General features: G+C 42.3%; 2 protein-coding genes across 59 annotated transcripts in view, besides 6 other annotated features; one reads left to right on the forward strand and one right to left on the reverse strand.

Annotated features, from left to right (window-relative positions):
• NCOR1 (nuclear receptor corepressor 1) overlaps positions 1-21,554 on the reverse strand; it is a 186,378-nt gene extending 164,824 nt beyond the window's left edge. For 40 of the 53 annotated variants that reach the window (NM_006311.4, XM_011524086.4, NM_001439115.1 and 37 more), the window contains exons 1-2: positions 21,382-21,554; positions 482-659 (exon numbers count right to left, since the gene is read on the reverse strand). In NM_006311.4, the coding sequence (NP_006302.2) occupies positions 482-589 (108 nt within the window). In that variant the 5' untranslated portion in view covers positions 590-659; positions 21,382-21,554. Of the gene's footprint in view, positions 1-481; positions 660-3,882; positions 4,740-21,381 lie in introns of those variants that run through there. The other 13 variants (XM_017025409.3, XM_017025403.3, XM_006721602.5 and 10 more) reach the window with 4 other exon arrangements.
• Positions 20,350-21,266: an enhancer, noted in NCBI's record as "H3K27ac hESC enhancer chr17:16117644-16118560 (GRCh37/hg19 assembly coordinates)". NCBI's record gives its function as "activates a minimal SCP1, AML or CMV promoter by ChIP-STARR-seq in naive and primed H9 embryonic stem cells {active_cell/tissue: H9 hESC(naive and primed)}" and the evidence as "EXISTENCE:reporter gene assay evidence [ECO:0000049][PMID:30033119]".
• Positions 20,350-22,182: a biological region, named in NCBI's record as "hESC enhancers GRCh37_chr17:16117644-16118560 and GRCh37_chr17:16118561-16119476".
• Positions 21,020-21,489: a silencer, noted in NCBI's record as "silent region_8216". NCBI's record gives its function as "represses an Ori minimal core promoter by ATAC-STARR-seq in GM12878 lymphoblastoid cells {active_cell/tissue: GM12878}" and the evidence as "EXISTENCE:reporter gene assay evidence [ECO:0000049][PMID:35858748]".
• Positions 21,267-22,182: an enhancer, noted in NCBI's record as "NANOG-H3K27ac-H3K4me1 hESC enhancer chr17:16118561-16119476 (GRCh37/hg19 assembly coordinates)". NCBI's record gives its function as "activates a minimal SCP1, AML or CMV promoter by ChIP-STARR-seq in primed H9 embryonic stem cells {active_cell/tissue: H9 hESC(primed)}" and the evidence as "EXISTENCE:reporter gene assay evidence [ECO:0000049][PMID:30033119]".
• Positions 21,760-21,819: an enhancer, noted in NCBI's record as "active region_11747". NCBI's record gives its function as "activates an Ori minimal core promoter by ATAC-STARR-seq in GM12878 lymphoblastoid cells {active_cell/tissue: GM12878}" and the evidence as "EXISTENCE:reporter gene assay evidence [ECO:0000049][PMID:35858748]".
• Positions 23,006-23,255: an enhancer, noted in NCBI's record as "active region_11748". NCBI's record gives its function as "activates an Ori minimal core promoter by ATAC-STARR-seq in GM12878 lymphoblastoid cells {active_cell/tissue: GM12878}" and the evidence as "EXISTENCE:reporter gene assay evidence [ECO:0000049][PMID:35858748]".
• Positions 23,230-24,376, forward strand: part of PIGL (phosphatidylinositol glycan anchor biosynthesis class L) — a 109,202-nt gene continuing 108,055 nt past the window's right edge. For all 6 annotated transcript variants that reach the window (XR_007065545.1, NM_004278.4, NM_001411072.1 and 3 more), the window contains exon 1: positions 23,230-23,481. Coding sequence is in view for 4 of the 6 variants with exons in the window: in NM_004278.4 (NP_004269.1) it covers positions 23,247-23,481 (235 nt within the window). In the remaining 2 variants the exon portion in view is untranslated. The remainder of the gene's footprint in view (positions 23,482-24,376) is intronic.

The following is a 24,376-nucleotide window of genomic DNA, read 5'->3' on the forward strand; positions in this document are numbered from 1 at the left end:
TAAATCAATCTCTTACAAACTCTTCCTATGATAAAGTCTTCCTTCCTAACTACCATCCCTTCCTTCCTACCTACTATACAAATCTTCCTACCATCAATTTCTTAAAAAGAGAGAGGTCTTTATCTTGGCCCTCACCCAAGACATGCCAAGTTATCTGGCCAGCTTAAAACTCAGCCACAACTTGGGAGTATAAATATAGGTCTTACCCCAGAAATTCTAGAGAATTGGTAAGTTTTCTATTTATCATCAACTCCTATCATGAAAAGCAAAGACAAGTTCAACTCCTGAAATCAGCATAAAGCCACAGTAAGACAGAAATAATTAATTCCCAATCTTTGGTTCCTTGTCTTTGTAAATAGCTCTTGCAACTTAAAAAAAAAAAAGATAAATTTGGTGGTTTCTGTCCCACATGTGTATTAAATAGGAAAAGTAAAGAAAAACACAAAAAACATGTGCAATTTGCATACTATCTGTTCCTTACCTGCTGGTGGCGGGTGTTGGGAAATGTATACTGGACAGAGTGAGGAGGATAACGACTTTGTTCTGTGCTGAATGCTCCTTGGTTGGGAGGATAACCTGAACTTGACATTATCAGTAAAGAAGTCCTCACCAGACTGTGAGATCAATGCCAATAAACAATCATGTTTCTAGGAAACCACCTAAACAGGATGAGAAAAAAACAGAATTAGTAAGAACTAAAACACCAAGTGTACTTCTAATAAATTATAACTATAGCTACATAAATAAAACCACAATTACCAGTAAAAGCTTCCTCTCATGTATTTACTTAATAAAAGTTACCAAGGTTTGAAAACATTAATGCATCATTTCTTTTTATACTTAAAATAGGTTAATATGTGACAAATAATATAATTAGTTATATAAAGTAAAAACAGTATATAAAAACAGCATAAGATCTGGCACATAATAACTGCTCAGTAAATATCTTTCTATAAATGTCTGAGAAATATAAAGACAAAAATACATGGTTTTAAATTTGGGAGTTGATAAGTCAATTGCGAAAAGAATTCAAGAGTAGTTTTAAGGTAAGCATTTGTGCAGAGGGAAGTATTGTCTTTATTAAATAATTCTGAAGCAAGGATGATAAAATACTAAGTTTTGTAATCACAGATGGTAGGTAGATGGACATTTGTTATATTACTCTTTGCATGCTTCTATGGACCTGAAATAGCAAATAAAGAAAAAGAAGGCCAGGAGCGGTGGCTACTCCTGTAATCCCAGCACTCTGGGAGGCTGAGGTAGGTGGATCACTTGAGGTCAGAAGTTCGAGACCAGCCTGGCCAACATGGTGAAACTTCTTTTCTACTAAAAATACAAAAATTAGCCGGGCACGGTGACATGCGTCTGTAATCCCAGCTACTTGGGAGGCTGAGGCAGGAGAATCGCTTGAGCCTGGAAGGCGGAGGTTGCAGTGAGCCGAGATCACGCCATTGCACGCCAGCCGGGGCAACAGAGCAAGACTCCGTCTCAAAAAAAAAAAGAAAGAAAGAAAGAAAAACAAAGCCATCTTCATTATAAAGTATATTCCTACTTATCCACAATTCTAGACTAATTTGATTTATCTGTCTTTTCTTGTGCCAATGCCACACTTTTCAAATTACTCTAGTATTATGAGGTTTCATATCCAGCAGGACAAGTTTCACCTCATTGTGCTTTGCTGTTGCTGCTACTTTCACCGCCTTCCCAGCTATTCTAGCACATTTCCTCTTACACACAAGCATCAGAGTCAGCTTGTCAGGTCCCAGAGAATTCTGGATGAGAACACATAAATACTGAATTTACAGACTGACTAATGGGAGAACAGGTACTGTTATACTCCTGAGTATTCCCATCCTAAAACATGATTATCTATGTTTATGTTTCAGGATAGCACAAATGTTTATGTTATACATAATTAATATGTATTTTACATACATATGATAGAGAATATTACATATGTATAAAAATGTGTGCCATAATATATAATTTCTATCTTAATTATATATAAAACTCCCATGACAAAAATTTTATATACACATATACACACGTGCATGTGTGTGCATACTCTCTTACTTTAAGACAGGAGTTCTATTATTACCTAATTGGGTGGTTTTAAAAAATAGAATTTATATATGATGAAAATTATATAATTGTATATATAAAAATATAACATATATAATTTTATATATATAAAATCTCCACACATTTAGTATTTTATTAGTAAAGTTTTAATTTTGTTTCCATCATTTCAAGGGATTTGGGAAGAGGGCAAATTCGAAAAATAATTCACTGTGACAACTTGATCAATTTCCCAGTTTTTATCAATATATTCTTTATCCAGTTAGGTTTAAAAAATAAAATTTTTTAGGGAATTGTCATTCAATCTAACTTTAAAATAAAACTTATAGGCTGGCCACAGTGGCTCACACCTGTAATCCCAGCACTTTGGGAAGTCAAGATCAGAGGATCTCCTAAGGCCAGGCGTTCAAGACCAGTCTGGGCAATGAAGCCAGACCTATGTCTACAAGAAAATTAAAATAATAATAATAACAATTAGTCAGGCGGCTGGGCGTGGTGGCTCATGCCTGTAGTCCCAGCACTTTGGGAGGCCAAGGCGGGTGGATCATGAGGTCAGGAGATCGAGACCATCCTGGCTAACGCGGTGAAACCCTGTCTCTACTAAAAATACAAAAAAGTAGCAGGGCGTGGTGGCGGGTGCCTGTAGTCCCAGCTACTGGGGAGACTGAGGCAGGAGAATGGCGTGAACCCGGGAGGCGGAGCTTGCCGTGAGCCAAGATCGGGCCACTGCATGCCAGCCTGGGCAACAGAGCAAGACTCTGTCTCAAAAAAAAAAAAAAAAGAAAAGAAAAAAAAAAGAAAAAAATAATTAGTCAGGCATGGCGGTACACACCCATGGTCCCAGCTACCTGGGAGGCTGAAGCAGGAGGATCACTTGAGCCCAGGAGGTCAAGACTGCAGTGAGCCGTGATTGTGCCACTGCACTCCAGCCTGGGTGATACAATGAAACTCTGACTCAAAAAATAAAAGAAAAACGTATAGAAAGAACTTTAAGGCCGGGCGCGGTGGCTCACGCACTTTAGGAGGCCAGCGCAGGCAGATCACGAGGTCAGGAGTTCAAGGACAGCCTGGCCAGCATGGTGAAACCTGGTCTCTACTAAAGATACAAAAAATTAGCCACGCATGGTGGCGCGTGCCTGTAAACCCAGCTGCTCGGGAGGCTGAGGCAGGAGAATCACTTGAAGCTGAGAGGCAGAGGTTGCAGTGAGCCAAGATGGCACCACTGCACTCCAGCCTGGGTGAGGGGTCCAGACTCCGTCTCCAAAAAAAAAAAAAGAACTTTAAAAACTATGTGGTACCATGTAATATATAAATATTTTAAATAAATATACCATCCTCCTCCTGATGTCATGTTTCCTGCTGTTGTGAAAGCTGACCAGGAGAAGAGTCAGAAGACTGACCAGCTGACCCTCAGCCTGTTTTTTCCCTGCTCCCTTCCTGAGGCATGGAGATCAGCAAATCTTAAGGATTGTAAGGTTGAGATTACCCAACTAACACTGATTTGACAGGTGAGAAATCTGAAGATCAGAGAAAGTCAATAATTCCTCTAATATCACAAAATTGTGGCAAAATGGGAAAAACTAATGTTTTCTGCAATGCTTTGCAGCTTTCTCAGCAAGCAGTGAACTAGGAGGAGCTGAGATGTTCAGTGAGAGCACACATTAAAACCACCTGAGGAGCTTTCTCCTCATCCATACACCTGCAACTGCTCCAGGTGGAAGGGGAAAAGCCAGCATGTGGCATCGTGAGGAGGGTTGATCTTTTTGGAAATAAATATTATATGTAGGACTTAAGAAAAAGTACCGCAGAATATAAAGCGAAAAATCTCCTCGCCCTTCTTCTCCAGCTGCTACCCAGTTACACTCCCAGAAGGCAACCAAAGTTACTAGTTTCTAGAGTGTCCTTTAGAAATATCCTACACATACATACACTCACACTTTTTCCCCTATGTAAATGGTGGCATACTAGAAACACACTGTTCTGTATCTTGCTTTTATTACTTAATACATCTTGGTTGGCCAGGCGCGGTGGCTCACACCTGTAATCCCAGCACTGTGGGAGGCCAAGGCGGGCGGATCACGAGGTCAGGAGATCGAGATCATCCTGGCTAACACGGTGAAACCCCATCTCTACTAAAAATACAAAAAAATTAGCCAAGCATGGTGGCGGGCGCCTGTAGTTCCAGCTACTCAGGAGGCTGAGGCGGGAGAATGGCATGAACCCAGGAGGCAGAGCTTGCAGTGAGCCGAGATTGCGCCACTACCCTCTAGCCTGGGCAACAGAGTGAGACTCCGTCTCAAAAAAAAAAAAAAAAAAAAACATCTTGGCAATTATTCTCATCAATTTATGGTTCTTTCTATTGCTAAACAGTATTTCTCTATATGGGCCGGGTGCGGTGGCTCACACCTGTAATCCCAGCACTTTGGGAGGCTGAGGCGGGTGGATCACCTGAGGTTGAGAGTTCGAGACCAGCCTGACCAACATGGTGAAACCCCGTCTCTACTGAAAATATAAAAATTAGCCAGGCGTGGTGGCACATGCCTGTAATCCCAGCTACTCGAGAGGCTGAGGCAGGAGAATCGCTTGAACCCAAGAGGCAGAGGTTGCGGTGAGCCGAGATCGTGCCATTGCACTCCAGCCTGGGCAACAAGAGTGAAACTCTGTCAAAAAAAAAAAAAAAAGAGTATTTCACTATATGAACATTCATGCATTTTGTAAAAGTTTTCCAACTAATTCTGATCTGCTGTCCTAAAACATGCTTTAAGTTATCTATCTCTGCACTCTCCTCCCAACTCAGATATCCCAAATAAATAAAGCTATAAATGGAATGAAGAGGCAAAAAAAAAGATTTTAACCCAGGGTCATCCAATTTTTTTCTAACAGTGGCCTAAATGATTAGAAACCCATGAGGTACAATTTTTTAATGCACATTGTTTAACTTTCAGCTATGGTGAGTCCTGAGTTCAACAATTACACTCAATGTCACTCAAAGTCACAAGTTAAGTGACTTGTCCATTTTTTCCCTCATCTCAGTAATCCTTCCTTGTCCGTTTTGTGGTATGACTTTAGTGAAGTTTAACTTTATTATCTCAAAAAAAAAAAAAGTCAGTTTTCTTTAAAAGTACTATCCGCCCAATACAGAAGGAAAAAAAAAAAAACACACACACACACACACACACACACACTAGCAAAATCAGGAAATTAGCCCCTACTAGCATACAAATTTACAGGTCAAAGCAAGCCCTTCCTGTCCTCGCATGAACTGCAGCCTGGAGACCACGACAACCTCCTTCCTCAAAACTTATCCATGAGATACACGGCAACAGTGCTCAGATTTTGTTTTTTAACCAGAATGTTTTCCTCAAAAGTCTTAAATGAAAGCTAAATGTACAAAAGATACAATGGAGAAACATTCCGATCTAGTAAGAATGGGAGACCTAGGATTCATCTTTTCAGTCTCCCCCTGCCCTTTCCCATCCTTCCCTCCACCCTTCACTCTAGTCCTGGCTCACTAAGATACCTCGGCAGAATACTTTACATTTGAAACCCACTGAAATAAAAGAATCTAGTTTAAAGTTCAGACTGAAGGGGAAGGGAGCACCTTAAGTGGCAGTATCAAATTATAATTTCAGTTCTTAGCACCAAAACTCATTAACTCAGGGTAGTTACATGGTTGACTCATGAACTGAAAAAATTCTACGAATTGTTTAAGAAATCTGATCGAGATTTTATAAGCAACTTCCTCATCTCTTAAATATCAACATATAATGTTTTAGGATGGGAATAATATAGTAATAATTATATGTCACTGTCATAAAAGACAACAGCACTTCTAACTGAATTATACAGATAAACCCAGAACTAGCCTCTTATATATTGCAAACAGGTAATACAATATTGCAAAATGAAATTGATCTATTTAAGTTCCTTTTTAAATCCTCTCATATTAAATAAACGCACACATATTTACTCAACAGGAAAATCTTGCAACAACAAAATTTCAAATACTATCCTGCCAAAAAAAAAAGCAATTTTTCCTCTCAGCAGGAACTCCTGGCTTTTGGCCCACAATTTTTGCATAACCAAAATGTGTTATGCAAAGGTGTTCAAGGTGGCCTAAGCTATCTTGGAAAAAAAGCTAAAAATGGCCAGGCACAGTGGCTCACACCTGTAATCCCAGCACTTTGGGAAGCCAAGGCCGGCGGATCACAAGGTCAGGAGATCAAGACCATCCTGGCCAACGTGGTAAAACTCCATCTCTACTAAAACACACCCACAAAAAAAAAAATTAGCCGGACATGGTGGTGCACACCTATAGTCCCAGCTACTCGAGAGGCTGAGGCAGGGGAATCGCTTGAATCTGGGAAGCGGAGGTTGTAGTGAGCTGGCATCGTGCCACTGCACTCCAGCTTGACAACAGAGCGAGACTCCATCTCAAAAAAAAAAAAAAAAAAAAAAAAAAGCTAAAAATATACTTCACTGTGGCAGGACTGCAGATGCCACTTCAGATGAGCAAGAATGAATCCACCAAGCGTCACAATAGAGGTGAAGCCTACATTTCACCAAAGCAGAAAAAGGATCCCACAAAATATGTAATTTTTACGTGATAAAATAATAAAACCTACTGATACAAAAGTATGGGGTAGGGCAATGCCTTTATGACATTCAAATGCTAAAATATTAGTTATTAAACTGAGGAAAATTAGGTCACACCAGTTCCCACAAAGCTGTCCAGCTCTACACCAATTCTAAAAGTATGTTAGGCAAGACAAAGCTAAGAAGGACCACCACCCTGGGCATCCCAACACCCAAAATCCTCCAACCTGGGGATAATTTAAAGAAAGCCGACCTCCTAAACTTATTACAGAGCCCAGCATGCAGGAGAGGAAAGACTAGAAATTATCTAAGTGAATTCTGTAATTTGTACAAGACCAGAGTGGTGCTATACTGTAATAAATTTTCTCTTGTAAAATAAACTAAAGCATTCTTCCCTTTGGGGGGAAAAAAAAGCTACTGCTTCTCAGCCTTTTGGTTAAGATCCAATCTGGGAGAATGCCATTAACAAGGTATTTTATTTGCAGCCTCTTTTGACATCATGACATCTTACTTAAAGACAGAGAAACAAATAGAAGCTAAAGAAAAAGCTTTTTAGTTAACCTATCCTACCTCTTATAAAGTATGATATTGAAAGAAAAATTTTAATAAGGATATAATTATTTGATAAATCTATGGGTACACATACTCAATAAGTAATTCTGGCCAGGCACAGTGGCTCACGCCTGTAATCCCAGCACTTTGGGAGGCCGAGGCAAGTGGATCACTAGAAGCCAAGAGTTTGAGACCAGCCTGGCCAAAAAAACAAAACCCCGTCTACACTAAAAATACAAAAACTAACCGGGCATGGTGACACATGTCTGTAATCCCAGCTACTCAGGAGGCTGAGCAAGAGAATCACTTGAACTCAGGAGGCAGAGGTTGCAGTGAGACAAGATCATGCCACTGCACTCCAGCCTGAGCAAGAGAACAAGACTCTATCTCAAAAAATAATAATAAATACATAATTCTTAAATGAAAGAAAAATGATGCTATTTTACCTCTACAAAAAGTGCTGTCCCAAGACAGCAGTACAATGTAACAATATCCAACTGAAAACTCTGTGGTATGTCGACACTACATTGAACTAATTCTCTGAACTGAACAACACTCACTCACTCACTCAACTTATAAGAACAAACATATTTCAAAGCCAGCCAAGCGCGGTGGCTCACGTCTGTAATCCCAGCACTTTGGGAGGCAGAGGCAGGTGGATCACTTGAGGTCAGGAGTTCAAGGCCAGTCTGGCCAACCTGGCAAAACCTCGTCTCTACTAAAAATACAAAAAATACGGCTGGGCGCGGTGGCTCACGCCTGTCATTCCAGCACTTTGGGAGGCTGAGGCAGGAGGATCATGAGGTCAAGAGTTCAAGACCAGCCTGACCAACATGTGAAACCCCATCTCTACCAAAAATACAAAAATTAGCGGGGCGTAGTGGCGCACGCCTGTAATCCCAGCTACTTGGGAGGCTGGGGCAGGAGAATCGCTTGAACCCGGGAGGCAGAGGCTGCAGTGAGCAGAGATTGCACCACTGCGTTCCAGCCTGGGCAAAAGGGCGAGACTCCATCTCAAAAAAAAAAAAAAAAAAATACAAAAAATTAGCCAGGCGTGGTGGTGCGCACCTGTAATCCCAGCTACTCAGGAGGCTGAGACACGAGAATCACTTGAACCTGGGAGGCAGAGGTTGCAGTGAGCCGAGATCGCACCCCTGCACTCCAGGCTGGACGACAGAGCAAGACTTCATCTCAAAAAAAAAAAAAAAGAACAAATATACTTCACAACCAAAGTGGATGACTACATGCCAATTCCCTCCTTGATTAACACAAAAGAAGAACAAAGAAATTGAGATAAGAACAATTTTAATGTAGATATTTGGCCTGAATTAATAGATATAACAATGTCTAAGTGGATATTACTAAAAGAGTTACCATTTACTGAGCTCTAGATATATACTAGCCAGTGTACTAAGACTTGGTGTGTGCGTGAGCTCACCTAAAAGTCTGGTTCCACTATTATCTCTAAGGCTGTAGGAAAGCTACATAACTTCCTCAAGCTATGTTTTTCTAACTCAGAGACAGATACCTTAAAGATCATCTGCTGCTGCCTCCCCTTTGACCCACTAACAGAGACTACAGGTTAATCAAGGGTTATGAACAGACTCTGTTTTTTGCTGCACCCCTCTCAGCACCCCCGAGCTCCATAAATCTTAAAGTCAAATGCTCTTAGCCTACTTTATTTTGGTACACACCTTAGAAACAAACAGAACTATCAAACACCTGTGAAGGTAAAGATCAGCTCTGTTCTGCTCTACATGGCCTCTGCAGCAGCTAGCAGTACTTAGCTCTCAGTAACACCCACTCCAACAGCAAGTTGTTTAGCTGTTCCTTACACACACACACACACACACACACACACACACTCTGAAGCTTCCCAGGCCTCTCCATCTAACTACCACCATCCTTACCTCTTGCTGCAAAAAAACTCCTAACTGGGCTTCCCACTTCAATACTTTCTCAACTCAAAAAGCCAAGTGTTCTTTTTAAACCTTAAATCAGAACATGTCACTCTCCTGCTTCAGATTCCCCAAGGATTTCCTACGCACCGCAAATAAAGTCTCAAGTACTTACGATGACCCAAGGCCCTACTTGATTTGGCCTGCTTACTTTCCAGATTGCTCACTAGGCCCCAGCAACATGAGTTTCCTTTCAGTTTCTTCAGGAGCCCTTCTCTGCCAGGTCCTTCCTAACTGGGTCTTTGTCCTTTACTCTCTGCCAGGAAAGCTGTTCCTGGCTCATTCAGGTGGCTAGCTCCTCCTCAAACTTAAGGTCTCAGTTCAAATGTCATCTCAGAAGAGTCTTTCTAACCACGCTACATATAAGGTAAGCTCCCACAAGTTACTCTCAATCACATCACCCTTTTTGTTCCTTTATAGGTTTATCATAATCTGAAATGGATTACGTACTTCATTTTATTTAAGTATATTCTGTCTTCCCTCACTAGAATAAAAACTACCTGTTTGATTCTCTACAATATTTGTTGAATAAAATAAACAAACAAACTCCCATTCATGGGTCTAATTTTTTTAAAAGAAATAAGAAATATACGAATATACGAGACTTATCTGTACAGGACTTATTTGAAGCAAAGTGTGAAAATCTATTGAGGGACATAAAAATCTATTTGAACACAGGACAGAAAGTATATAAAGATGTCAATTTCCCCAAACTTCACCTACAATTTCAGTATTCCCAATCAATATTCAGCATTCAATAAAAATCTCTATGATTTCTTTTTGAATGTCACAGAATGATTCTAAAGTTCATCTAGAAGAACACATAGACCAGAATTGTCAAAGTCTGAAAAAAAGAGTAATGAACAGGTAACTAACCCCATCTGTATTAAAATTATAAAATGATAGTAATTTAAAGTATATGGTAATCAAAGAGATCAAAATAAAATAATAAGAGATCAAAATAAAATAATACACAAGAGATCAAAATAAAATAACAAGACCAATCAGAAATAGTCCCAAACACATTTAGTAAATGACAAAAGCTGCAATTCTAATAGTGGGGCAAAAAACAGATTATTCACTAAATGGTGCTGACACAACTAGCTAGTTAGGGTAGAATTCACACACAATTTTATCCCCCAAAATATGTCTCACTTCTTATACCAGAAATAAATTCCAGATGGATCAAAGAATTAGAAGTTTTAAAAAGAGAAGGAAAAGGAGAAAAAGAAACCACTGAAGTATTAAATTACAACCTGGGGACTCCTTTGTTTTAAAAATACAAAAAGGCATGCAGTTAAAAAGTCTTCCTCTCACTCATTCTTCTTACTATGACAACCAATGTTTCCAAGTATCATATATCCTGCGATATACAAGCAAACATGTATACATTGTTTTTCATCTTTAAAGCAAAGACACATAGAGGCATATAATGTTCCTCGCTTTGTTTTTCTAGTTTAGTAGATAGGTGAATATTTTACATTTTGGAGTAAGGAAAGTCTTAAGTAGAGCACAAAACACAAAAGTCACATAAATAGACTAATAAGAGTCACAGCTAACATTTATTATTTACTTACTTTGTGCCAGCCACTATGCCTAATGCTATTTACATTATCTCCATTTTACAAATAAGGAAATTAAGGTGTACAGAGATTAAATAATGTGCCCAAGGTCCCACAGCAGCATGGTGCTGGGTTTGGATATATCTGACTACATAACATTACAAAAGAATAGCTAGGGGGATATGTGCACACACATGAATAAAGTGAGTGAGGCCAGGCGCGTTGGCTCACGCCTGTGATCCCAACGCTTTGGGAGGCCCAGGCGGGTGGATCACCTGAAGTCGGGAGTTTCAGACCAGCCTGACCAACAAGGAGAAACCCCATCTGTAGTAAAAATACAAAATTAGCCAGGCATGGTGGTGCAGGCCTGTAATCCCAGCTACTCAGGAGGCTAAGGCAGGAGAATCACTTGAACCCAGGAGGCAGAGATTGAGGTGAGCTGAAATCCTGCCATTGCAATCCAGCCTGTGCAACAAGAGCAAAACTCTGTCTCACAAAAAAAAAAAAGAAAGAAAAAAGTGAGTATGTAGAGAACTTTTTAACCTGTTAAAACGCAATAACCCCATCAGGAAATAACCAAAGAACAAAAGTAGGCAATTTATAAAAGACACATGGCCGGGCTCAGTGATGCATGCCTGTAATCCCAGCACTTCGGGAGGCCGAGGTGGGTGGATCACGTGAGGTCAGGAGTTCGAGACCAGCCTGACTAACATGGTGAAACCCCATCTCTACTAAATATATAAATTAGCCAGGCGTGGTGGCAGACGCCTGTAATCCCAGCTACTTGGAAGGCTGAGGCAGGGGAATCGCTTGAACCTGGGAGGCGGAGGTTGCAGTGAGCTGAGATTGTGCCACTGCACTCCAGCCTGGGCAACAAGAGCGAGGCTCTGTCTAAAAGAAAAGAAAAGAAAAGAAGAAAAAAAAAAAAGGTTGGGCGCAGTGGCTCATGCCTGTAATCCCAGCACTTTGGGAGGCCAAGGTGGGTGGATCACCTGAGGTCGAGAGTTCGAGACCAGCCTGGCCAACACAGAGAAACCCTGTCTCTACTAAAAATACAAAATTAGCTGGGAGTGGTGGTGCATGCCTGTAATCCCAGCTACTAGGGAGGCTGAGGCAGGAGAATCGCTTGAACCCAGGAGGCAGAGGTTGTGGTGAGCTGAGATCAAGCCATTGCACTCTAGCCTGGGCAACAAGAGCGATACTCCGTCTCAAAAAAAAAAAAAAAAGAAAGAAAGAAATACAACTCTCCCCATAGTAAAAAATGTTTAGCCTCAATCTTGATGGATAAAAGGCCAATCAGAATCACATTTTTTCAGTTCCTAAATTGTCAAAATGTTTTAAACTGTAATATCTAGTATTGGCCAGAGTATGGGGCATACCTGAATACTACTGGTAGCTTTACAAATTGGTACAACAATCTTTTGGAAGGAAAATGTATAAATATCTATCCATATCTACATTATTCACATCTTTTGATTCAGCAACTCCACTTCTAGGAATCTATCCTACAAAGCTGTTTGTACAAGTACACAAAATGCATATACATATGTACATGTGCATAAATATTCACACACACACACACAATTGTTTACAGCTTTGTTTTTCTGGCCAAAAAAAAAAAAAATCTAGTGACCGTAAGTTGATTAAGCAAATTACAGTATTTTCTTTTCTTTTTTGAAACGGAGTCTCACTCTGTCGCCCAGGCTGGAGTCCAGTGGCATGATCTCAGCTCACTGCAACCTCCACCTCCCAGTTTCAAGTGATTCTCCTGCCTCAGCCTCCCGAGTAGCTGGGATTACAGGCACATGCCACCATGGCTGGCTAATTTTTGTATTTTTAGTAGAGATAGGGTTTCACCATGTTGGCCAGGCTGGTCTTGAAGTCCTGACCTCCGGTGATCTACCTGCCTCGGCCTCCCAAAGTACTGGGATAACAGGCATGAGTCACCATGCCTGGCAAATTATGGTATCTTCATGTACTAGAAATGGGATATTAAGTTGCTGTTAATGATTGATAGAGGTAACTGAAATAAATAGACAAACTTGGAACAGTAGTATATAAAAGAATAGTACATTATGATCCCATAATATAGAAAATTAGACAAACACAGAAAAGAAAACTGGAAGAATATGCAACAAACTCAGTAGATTACATCCAAGAAGTGGTTCTTTCAATTTCGGTATATATATAAAATAATGTATTACTTATAATTAGTGAAAGATAAGATTTTAAAATAGCATATCCTCCTTCATGCATTATAATGATTTTGTGTGAATATAAAGTAACTTCTTCCTCCCCCCCAACAGAATGTATATACTCTTACATCAGGTATATTTACGTTCTGCATATTTTAGGTTATAACTCCTAGATAGCACAAGTTTTGATTTCATTCCAAATACCTCCAAATACATAAAAGTTATTGTAATTAAAAATGAATTTAAAAATCTTAAAAGTAACGCAAAGTTAAACATCTTTGAACAGAAACTCAAAGTCATGATGATGACTACTTAAAACAAACATTTTCAAAATTACATAAATCTCTATGTTATTGCCAGGGGAAATGAATTGCCTAAAACAAATTACTCTGAATGTGAACTGTGTATGACAGTGATAATGGCAAGAAGAATGTCTGTCAGTTCAACAAAGTATGGGGTAAAGGGGCAATCTATAAGCATAAAGGTGACTCTCATCATAAATCTAAGAGTCAAAATTTCCTAGAAAAATGTAATCTTGGCGGGGCGCAGTGGCTCACGCCTGTAATCCCAGCACTTTGGGAGGCCGAGGCAGGCGGATCACGAGGTCAGGAGATCGAGACCATCCTGGCTAACACAGTGAAACCCCATCTCTACTAAAAATACAAAAAATTAGCCAGGCGTGGTGGCAGACGCCTGTAGTCCCAGCTACTCTGGAGGCTGAGGCAGGAGAATGGTGTGAACCTGGGAGGTGGAGCTTGCAATGAGCCGAGACCGCGCCACTGCACTCCAGCCTGGGTGAGAGCGAGACTCCATCTCCAAAAAAAAAAAAAAAAGAAAAGAAAAGAAAAGAAAAATGTAACCTCAATATATTTGGTTTTGATATCAGCTTATTTGTGTATAACAAAGAATAAAAACAGCCAAACAGCCCAAATTTTGTTCCTCGAGTACACTGTAATGGGGGAAAGAAATCCAAATAAGTTAGGATTCTTGACTTTTCCTTTACTCCTGACTAATCTACTTAATTTTTTATATAAAACTAGTCGATATTATTCTTTCAAAGGGAGTCCTGAATTCTATTATAATCCTATCAACCAACCGTTCCATATTTCTTTCTTTTTTTTTTTTTTTTTTTTTTTTGAGACGGAGTCTCGCTCTGTCGCTAGGCTGGAATGTAGTGGCGCAATCTCGGTTCACTGCAACCTCTGCCTCCCAGGTTCAAGCGATTCTCCTGCCTCAGCCTCCTGAGTAGCTGGGACTACAGGCGCGTGCCACCATGCCCAGCTATTTTTTTTTTTTTTTTTTTTTTTTTGTATTTTTAGTAGAGATGGGGTTTCACCACGTTGGCCAGAATGGTCTCGATCTCTTGACCTCGTGATCCACCTGCCTTGGCCTCCCAAAGTGCTGGGATTACAGGCGTGAGCCACCATGCCTGGCCAACCGTTCTGTATTTCTAACTCACAGTTTTTTCCTAGGATTGAAACTACTCCAAAATTCCCTGCATATAAAAATTAAAACATTATTGCATTCTAATATTATCTAGAACCATGAGTGCTGTCTAGGATGAACCAATCCCATGTTTACTTTCTCTTTCTCCCCAAAATTCCAATAAACAGAATTTTTTTTTTCTTTTTTAAAGAAATGCTTTTAACTGGGCTCAGTGGCCCGCACCTATAATCCCAGCACTTCAGGAGGCCAAGGTGGGAGGATCACTTGAGCCCAGCAATTTGAGGTCAGCCTGAGCAACATAATGAGACCCTGTTTCTACAAAATAAAAAAATTGACCAGGTGTGGTGGCACACACCTGTAGTCCCAGCTACTCAGAAGAACCGCGTGAGCCCAGGACTCGGAGGCTGCATTGAACTATGATCACACCACTACACTCCAGCCTGAAGCCTCCAGAGACAGACCCTCTGTAAAAAAGAAAAAAAAAAGAAATATTTTGATAATTTACTAATTACAGCTATGTTAGTCACTGACATTGGTGAAATTTCTACATGTTTTTTAATTTCCAAAAACTATTCAGCATCAAACTGCCATATGTGTATCAGAGATCTTCTACAGCAACCACACTAACTCTAGCTGCTAAGCTCATTTTTATGAGCTAGGCACAGGGTGTTATTCTGGGAGTGGGAAAAGAAGAAAAAATTTTTTAAAAACTCAGATACAGACATGCCTACAAAGGGCTTACGGTCTAGAGGCAAAGGATCAAGAGTTCCCAGAATAAAAAATATACATTTTGGAGAAGAGGGAATAGGAGAGACACTTCCTGGATGATGTAATATGTGATCAAACCCTTGAAAAATAGGATAAATTTAGATGTAGTAGAGTTTGGAAGAGTAAGGGAGGAAAGGAGTATTCCAGAAACAAGCATAGTAACAAGAAAAAAAAACAAAAAATTCTTCTTAATGCAACACAAAATAGCCCAAGTAGAATAAAGAAATATGCCATGCTTCAGTATTTATGTAAAGATTATCAGCTTAATAAGAATATGCCTTTTCCTTTATAATAAATTTTATAGGCCAGGCATGGTAGCTCATGCCTGTAATCCCAGCACTTTGGGAGGCCATGGTGGGAGGATTACTTGAGCCCAGAATTCAAGACCAGGCTGGGCAAAACAATCAGACCCCATCTCTATTTTTAAAAAATTAAAATAAAATAAATTTTATAGCATGAATACATACAGAAAATGAATATTACAAATAAGCTTTTGGATGTAAAAAAAAAAAAAAACCATAAAGAATACACTCGGCCAAGTGCGATGGCTCACGCCTGTAATCCCAACACTTTGGGAGGCCAAGGCGGGCAGATCACTTGAGGTCAGGAGTTCAAGATCAGCCTGGCCAACATGGCGAAACTCTTTCTCTACTAAAAACACAAAAATTAGCGGGGCATGGTGGCATATGCCTGTAATCCCAGCTACTTGGGAGGCTGAGAACGAGAATCACTTGAACCTGAGAAGTGGAGGTTGCAGTGAGCTGAGATTGTGCCACTGTACTCCAGCCTGGGCAATAGAGTGAGACTCTGTCAAAAAAAAAAATGTTCATGTTTGTGCTATTTATCTAAGCTTTTATATTAATATAACAATTGAAATCCTTCATACTTAAAAAAAAAATCCAGAAGTCTGAGAGTAGGCAAAACAAGCAACAGCTAATTTTATAAAATAATTTAACCTATTTGTAGGCCAGGTGTGGTGGCTCACGCCTGTAATCCCAGCACTTTGGGAGGCTGAGGCGGGAGGATCACCTGAGGTCAGGAGTTCGAGATCAGCCTGACCAATATGGAGAAACCCTGTCTCTACTAAAAAATACAAAATTAGCAGGGCGTGGTGGTGCATGCCTGTAATCCCAGCTACTTGGGAGGCTGACGCAGGAGAATTGCTTGAACCCAGGAGGCAGAGGTTATGGTGACCTGAGACAGCGCCATTGCACTCCAGCCTGGGCAACAAGAGTGAAACGCTGCCTCAAAAATAATAGTAATAATAATAATTTAAACTATTTATTTGGGCCTCAGGGGTATTTAAACCACTGGCATAATAAAATTTCCATCACTATTAATACTTAAATTCCATGAAGTGTCACTGGACCCAGATAACCTCAAAGACATTTTTGTTTAAGAAGCTATTCATCAAAGCAGATTAAAAATTAAGCAAACTAAATAATTCCTGGTGATCACTGTAACACTGACATAGATCAGTATCAATTTTTTCAAACTATATTTTCATTGCCAAAATTTAATATTAAGAAGTATCTTAAATTCAATACCTAAGCTAAATATCCAAAGTAATCTCTCATTTCCTATTCACTCCAATTTTTTTTTTTTTTTCTTGAGGCAGAGTCTCACTCAGTCACCCAGGCTGGAGTGCAGTGGCGCAATCTCGGCTTACTGCAAGCTCCGCCTCCCGGGTTCACGCCATTCTCCTGCCTCAGCCTCCCGAGTAGCTGGCACTACAGGTGCGTGCCATCATGCCCGGCTAATTTTTTGTATTTTTTTAGTAGAGACAGGGTTTCATCATGTTGGCCAGGATGGTCTCGATCTCCTGACCTCATGATCCGCCCACCTCGGCCTCCCAAAGTGCTGAGATTACAGGTGTGAGCCACCGCGCCTGGCCGATTTTTAAGTGTCAATCATCAAATCGATTCATCCCATGGATGATACAGTGTAACACAGTGAACACTATAATAGATACGAAAAGACTTAGATTCTGCTATTGCCCAACTTTAGCAACTTAGGCAGGTAAATCACTTCACTTCTCCGACCTTCAGTGTTATCGAAAGTAAAACAAGACTAGATAATCTGACTCTACATTCTATAAATTAGCTATTTTTATTTTATTTTTATTTATTTTTTTTTTTGAGAGACAGTCTTGCTCTGTCACCCAGTCTGAAGTGAGTGCACTGGCATGATCATGGCTCACTGCAACCTCAACCTCCCAGGCTCAGCTTCCCAAGTAGCTGGGACCACAAGCACACTCTGCTAATTTTTCAATTTTTTTGTAGAGATGGGACTCGCTCTGTTGTGCAGGTTGGTCTCAAACTCCTGGCCTCAAGTGGTCCTATCACCTCAGCCTCCCAAAGTACTAGGATTATAGGCATGAGCCACTGTGCCCTGCCATTAACATTTTATTTTAACCAATTTTGTTGTTTTTGAGATCGCTGTTAAATAAAAGTAACAGCAGGACATACGGAAGAAGCAAACTGTCTGAAGAACTCCATAGGAACATTCGCAGTGTTTCATACAGTCTCAGACTTTCAAATGCAAAGAAAAAAAAAATAGGTTGTATCTGAAGACTATTCTAGTAATATTTTGACCACACAAGCTACTGGGGTAGGAAAAAAATGGTAGAAGAACAGTATAAGTGTTCAAGGAAAAATGCCACCACAAGAAAACCAAAATAAAAAACAGATGCTCCACATACGGTTATTACTACATTACAGAAGCTTTTCATAGTTTTCCAGTGCTCTTAAAAAGTGCTAATAGAAAAAGAAACAAAATGTTTTCTTAACCATTTACATGTATACATGTATTTTTTGCATCCTCAAACCTGAAAAGGACCAAATATAAGATAATCTATAGGGCCGGGCACAGTGGCTCACACCTGTAATCCCAGCACTTTGGGAGGCCAAGGCGGGTAGATCATGAGGTCAGGAGTTCAAGACCAGCCTGACCAACACGTCTCTACTAAAAATACAAAAATTAGCCAGGCATGGTGGCGCATGCCTGTAATCCCAGCTACTCAGGAGGCTGAGGCAGGAGAATCACTTGAACCTGGGAAGCTGAAGTTGCAGTGAGCCTGAGATCACGCCACTGCCCTCCAGCCTGGGTGACAAGAGCGAGACCCTGTCTCAAAGGAAAAAAAAAGAAAAAAAAAAGATAATCTATAGACTGAGTTATTTGTGAATATAACTGATCTGCTCGACTATATTTTATAACTTTCTAGTATTTAGTAGTGTGCCAGAACATAAAAAGCACCTCATACTGGTTGAATATAAGTGAGTAAACAAAAATATATGAATCTCTAATCTACAAATAAGACTATACACAATAAATTCTGATCAATCTTTACTAGTTGTTTTATATCATAGTCTAGTAAAATCCAGTATCTTAAGTAAAAGAACAGATGGAACTAAATATGCAAGAGTTCCATCATTCCCAGGCATCAAGAAGAATTTGAAATTACAACTAAGATAGATCACAGAATACAATTAAAACCAAATAACCAAAACATATTTTTTAAAAAACAAACAGCCTGACACTCACCTACATCAACCCCCAGTCTATCCAAAGGCCTTTGCCTTCTACAGCAGATAACAAAGGTAAGAAAAGAAAATTTCACCAATTCATAACACAATTTTTTTTAATGCTTTTAAGGCCGGGTGCAGTGGCTCACCCCTATCATCCTAGCACTTTGGGAGGCTGAGACAGGCAGATCGCTTGAGCCCAGGAGCTCGAGACCAGCCTAGACAACATGGTCAAACCCTTTCTCTACAAACAAAAAAAAAAATTAACCAGGCGTGGTGGCCTGTGCCTGTAGTCCCAGCGACTTGGGAGGCTGAGGTGGAAGGATCACCTGAGTCCAGAGGTCAAGGCTGCAGCGAGCCACTGTATTTCAGCCTGGGCAAAAGAGACCCTGTCTCCAAAAAAAAAAAAAAAAAGCTTTAAAAAAGTTATTAACTAATCTAATCTTTCCTATAAGTTAATTTCCATCATTTCATTCTTTTTTGATTAAGAGGATAGGCAAAACACAAATTTTACTGTTTTTTAAATCCAACAAGTATTCAATTAAAAATAAGCCAGGCACGGTGGCTCACGCCTGTAATCCCAGCACTTTGGGAGGCCAAGGCAGGCGGATCACGAGGTCAGGAGATTGAGACCATCCTGGCTAACACGGTGAAACCCCGTCTCTACTCAAAGTACAAAAAAATTAGCCAGGCATGGTGGCACGCGCCTGTAGTCCCAGCTACTCGGGAGGCTGAGGCAGAAGAATTGCTTGAACCCGGAGGCGGAGGTTGCAATGAGCTGAGATTGCGCCACTGCACTCCAGCCTGGGTGACAGAGCAAGACTGTCTCAAAAAAAAAAAAAAAAAAAAGATAAAATCAGCGAAGGGCCTATCCTGCTCTCAAGAGATAAAATAGGTACATAAATACCTACAAGATAGAAAGTGTAAATGCCGCGAGAGATGTGCAGAAAAAGCATTACAGGAGCCCAGAGGGAGCTGTTACCACCTCACAGAAATATAACCCCTTCAATCTGTTTAAAACAATTTTATAACTATTAACTCCCTTTAGGCTCACAACAGCCAACCCTAGGAGAGTAGATGTTTACCTAATATTCAAGATGAGGAAACTGAAGCACAGAAAGGTTGATCAAGTTCCAAAATCACATAGTTAGAGCAAGAATCAAGATACTTTGTATTATATTTTCTCCGGGGGAGTAGTTCAACATATGGCAAGCCTTTTGTAAAAGGAAAGAGTATTTTAGTATTGTAAGTAATCAGTTCCTACTGTGAGCATTTTATACATAGCTATATCCATATATACAATTAATCTTGATTTCCATTAACAGGTGTGCTTAAAGCAAGGCCAAGCAACTGGGTACTATAAATATTAAAACAAATAAATAAACTTCCACCGGATGTTAACAGAAAAAGAAAAAAAGATACAAGATTTCTCTCTCCAGTAACTTGCGGTTACTTCTTCTGTAATTGTTACCCTTGTCTAAATAACATTCTAAAATTGGTCTGCTCCTGAGCCCGGGCAAGTACAAGTTGGTTCATCCAATAAATATCTTCATGAAAAGGTACATCAAAACATTTTAAAAAGCTATTAAAAATTAAACGATGCCATCAACTCTTCAGTTATCCACAGGACAATCACATGTGACCCAGCATCAGCAGCTATTGATCAAGATATATTGAACGAATGAATGAATCTTTGTAGGCATTTTTAAATCCCGGGCCTGTTGCTCCTTGCACAGTGCCATGTTCAGCCTTCCATCACTGCCTCACCAGGGTGCACACAAGGAATGTAAATTTCAATATAATTAGGATATAATTAGAGAAGCAAATCTGATGCAGGTTTACATACTAATCCCAAAGATTAGAATTACCTATACTACTACTCTCCAAGGTTAACTCTGTGGAAGAGGCACCGCAGCATGCAACATCACATAAAGAAAACTGACACTTCCTGAGCAAATAGTTTTCGTCCATATCACTTATTCCCATCCATTCCTTTAATACATGACTATTCCTGATCCAGTTAATTTGAAGAATTCAGTCTCCTCTCCATAAAGGCTGATTTCACAACTACAGTTTCTCAAATTCCTCTCTCCCCAAAAAGGGGTGCACTTACGGACTTCGCTTAAGAAAACACCAACAATAAACGGCAGAAGGTATAGTGTTCGGATCTTTGCCATCTCCACCAGTACCCAGCCTTCGCCATTACACCCTGAAGCGGTCTGTTAGAAAGGTGAACTAATTTACTCTGCACGCACTTGTCCATGGCTGTCAACCTCCGCAGCCCCTTCTACACTTCCAAGTCGGCCACCAACTCCGCCTCAGTGAGCCCAGGCCCGCCACCTGCGCCGGCCCCACCCGGGGCACCGGCTGCCCGCTCTCCCTCGCAGGCCCTGTAGGCTCCGCACGCCCCTCCGCACAGGACACCTCGGGGCCAGCCCCGGCCCGGCCACAGCCCATTCTTCCTCCAAACTCCATAAGCCTCCGCTAGCCCAGCCCGAGCTCCCCGCCGCGCCCGGCTCTCTCCTGGGCTGCCGAGTGGAAGAGGCCAGGCGGCCAGGACGGGTCCCGACCTGCCCAGGCCTGCGACACCCCCCGCCCGGCGGAGAAACCGTCCCAGCGGCTGCTGCCCCGGGAGCCCTCGGAAGCCCCCGGACTAGCAGGAGCCCGGAGGCCGGGGTTGCAGGCGCCAGGGCCTACTCACCGGGAGCTGGCTAAGCGTGGGAGCCGACGTGCGCCCCGGCCTGAGGAGTGGGACGCGGCCACGGCGCGCGGCCCTACACCGGGACCTCGTTCGGCGCGGCGAGTCGGACGCTCACTCCAGCCGCCGCCGCCGCCGCGGCTGCTGCTTCGCCACCTTGGCCGCCATCTTGACTCAACCCCTCTCCCTCCCCCCAGCCCGCGGAGCCGCGGCTAAGGCGGCTCCAGCGCCGGCTCCTCCTCCTTCCGGAGAGTTGGGAGACCAACTCCCTCCGCTGGCCGGGCGCCTCTCCTACCTCGGCGGAGCTTCCCGGGTCGCGCTGCGCCCGGTCTCTTCATGTCTCCTCTAGGCCTGGCAGCGGCGGTCCTCTCGGACGGATACGGGGCCGAGCAGCGCCCAGCCGGATCCAGCGCTGCTGCCATCGTGCCCTGGGCTTGTGCGCCCCCCGCCTGCCCGTCTGTTCCGCGCGCCCGAGGCCTTCCTCAGGCGTGGGAAAAGGAAAAACTCCAGGCCGTGGAAGGGACCCTGCAAACCCCTCCGCGGCGTGGTGGGGCGGCGGCGGCCTCCTCTGGCCGGAGCTGCGTACAGGGAAGCCGGTCCCCTCGTGGCTGGGAGCTGGAGGGGTGCATTTCGACCTGCCCAAGATACTTTCTAGGGCTCTGGCTGGAATTCGCACCAAGCCCTCACTGAAATGCTGGGCGAGGCCGATTTGTCCACGATGTTGCTCCTTAACCTTAAGTTACTTGCAAGAGGAGCCTGTGGCCCTCGCGACTGTTAAGTGCACGCTCAGCCTCACCCTGCTGGGGAAACGACGGTTCCTCGTAACCGCACGCATACGTTCCTTTAGAAAAGCCAGGCCCGACCGGACGCAGTGGGTCACGCTTGTAATCCCAGCACTTAGGGAGGCCGAGGCGGGCCATCACTTAAGGTCAGGAGTTCGAGACCAGCCTGACGAACATGGAGAAACCCCGTCACTACTAAAAATACAAAAATTAAGCGGGCGTGGTGGCGCGCGCCAGTAATCCCAGCTACTGGGGAGACCGAAGTGGGAGAATTGCTTGAACGCGGGAGGCTGAGGTAGCAGCGAACCTAGGTCGCGCCACTGCACTCCAGCCTGGGCGACGGAGCCAGACCGTTTCAAAAAAAAAAAAGAAAGGGCCGGGCGCGGTGGCTCAGGCCTGTAATCCCAGCACTTTGGGAGGCCGAGGCGAGCGGATCACGAAGTCAGGAGTTCGAGACCAGCCTAGTTAACATGGTGAAACCCCCTCTCTACTAAAAATACAAAAATTAGCTGGGCGTGGTGGCGCGCGCCTATAGTCCCAGCTACTCGGGAGGCTGAGGCAGAAGAGTCGCTTGAACCCGGGAGACAGAGGTTGCAGTGAGCCGAGATCGCTCCACTGCACTCCAGCCTGGGCGACAGAGCCTCTCAAAAAAAAAAAAAAAGGTAAAGAAAGCCATCCAAAAGTGAGAAGGAATAACAAAGTTGGTGTAACTGGCTATTTTGGAAAACTGTCATACGGATAACGGGCTGTCTAACCCTATAATTACGAGAAAGGCCCGAGTTTTAAGAAATGAATTCGAAAATGAAGAGGAAGGAACTCTTCCTATAAGTGGGAGCTTATATATAAGACGCTTCCTTTTAAACCGATTGTACAGTGTGGTAGGACTAGGGTAGGAAACTGGACGGCATGGAGACTTCTGTGTTAAAACACAAGAGAACCCTTAACGTTAAAACCTCAAGCTTCCGGAGCATGTCGGCGGGAGGGACTTAACAGCGGAACCCAACATTCCCCGGTGAAGTTTTCCAGCCGGAGTCAGGGTCAGAGGCAGCCTTTCCTACTGCGCAGGCTCAGTGCTGCTTACCCATCATGGAAGCAATGTGGCTCCTGTGTGTGGCGTTGGCGGTCTTGGCATGGGGCTTCCTCTGGGTTTGGGACTCCTCAGAACGAATGAAGAGTCGGGAGCAGGGAGGACGGCTGGGAGCCGAAAGCCGGACCCTGCTGGTCATAGCGCACCCTGACGATGAAGCCATGTTTTTTGCTCCCACAGTGCTAGGCTTGGCCCGCCTAAGGCACTGGGTGTACCTGCTTTGCTTCTCTGCAGGTAGGAGGCCATAGGAGGGGCGATGGGAGCCGGGGCTTTGAAAGGGATTTAAGTGCTAACCGATCTCAGTCGCCTTCTTCTCGAAGTTTTCCGTAGGGAGCTAAGTGAATACACCGAAGGTCTTACCTCTGAACCCCTCACAGCCTAGGGACAGGAGCGGCCGGCTTACCTGGTGGGTTGGGGGACGTCGGCAGCTCGCGTACTACGCCAGCAGGATTGAGGAGCAGAGAAACAGTTGCAGTTGGTTGTATTCAGTACCTGCATTTCCGTTGGGAACTCCACCTGTACTTGTTATTCTGTGGAACTTTTTTTTATTTGTAGAAGGAGCAAGAATATTGACCTTACTATATAGCACACGAAACAATCTATGCTGTATCGTGCCTGCTCAATCCTTAAAGTTAACTTCTAATGATAGTAAAAGACCTTCCTGCTGCCTTTAAAATGCAGCTTGTGCTAGTAACATGCATGTGTCAAATTGAAGAATTAGACATAGATGACTAGATAGAAAGTAATTTTGTAGGTAATTTTAGAGTTCAACTCCACCCAGCTTTCAGTGAAGGAACCTTTCAAATAATAGATTTTTGCTTACCATAGAGAAAAGATCAAATGACAAAGCAAATATTGACCATTAAGCTGGAATATGGTGATAATTGAACAGTTGTATAAATGAAGTAATTGAATTGTACACATACAATGGGTGAATTTTATGGCATGTCAAAGTATACCTCAATAAAGCTATTTTTTTAAATTGCCCATGACCTCTTTTCCCATTTGTTTGTGTGTCTTTCCAATTCTTTTTCTATACAGCTTCTTCACAGAAATCACATTTTATAAAATTTTATATCGTTTTTACTCGACATTACTTTTTCATTTATTTACCAAATACTTATTAAAC

The sequence above is a fragment of the Homo sapiens genome, chromosome 17 (assembly GCF_000001405.40).
Source record: "Homo sapiens chromosome 17, GRCh38.p14 Primary Assembly".
NCBI lineage: Eukaryota > Metazoa > Chordata > Mammalia > Primates > Hominidae > Homo > Homo sapiens.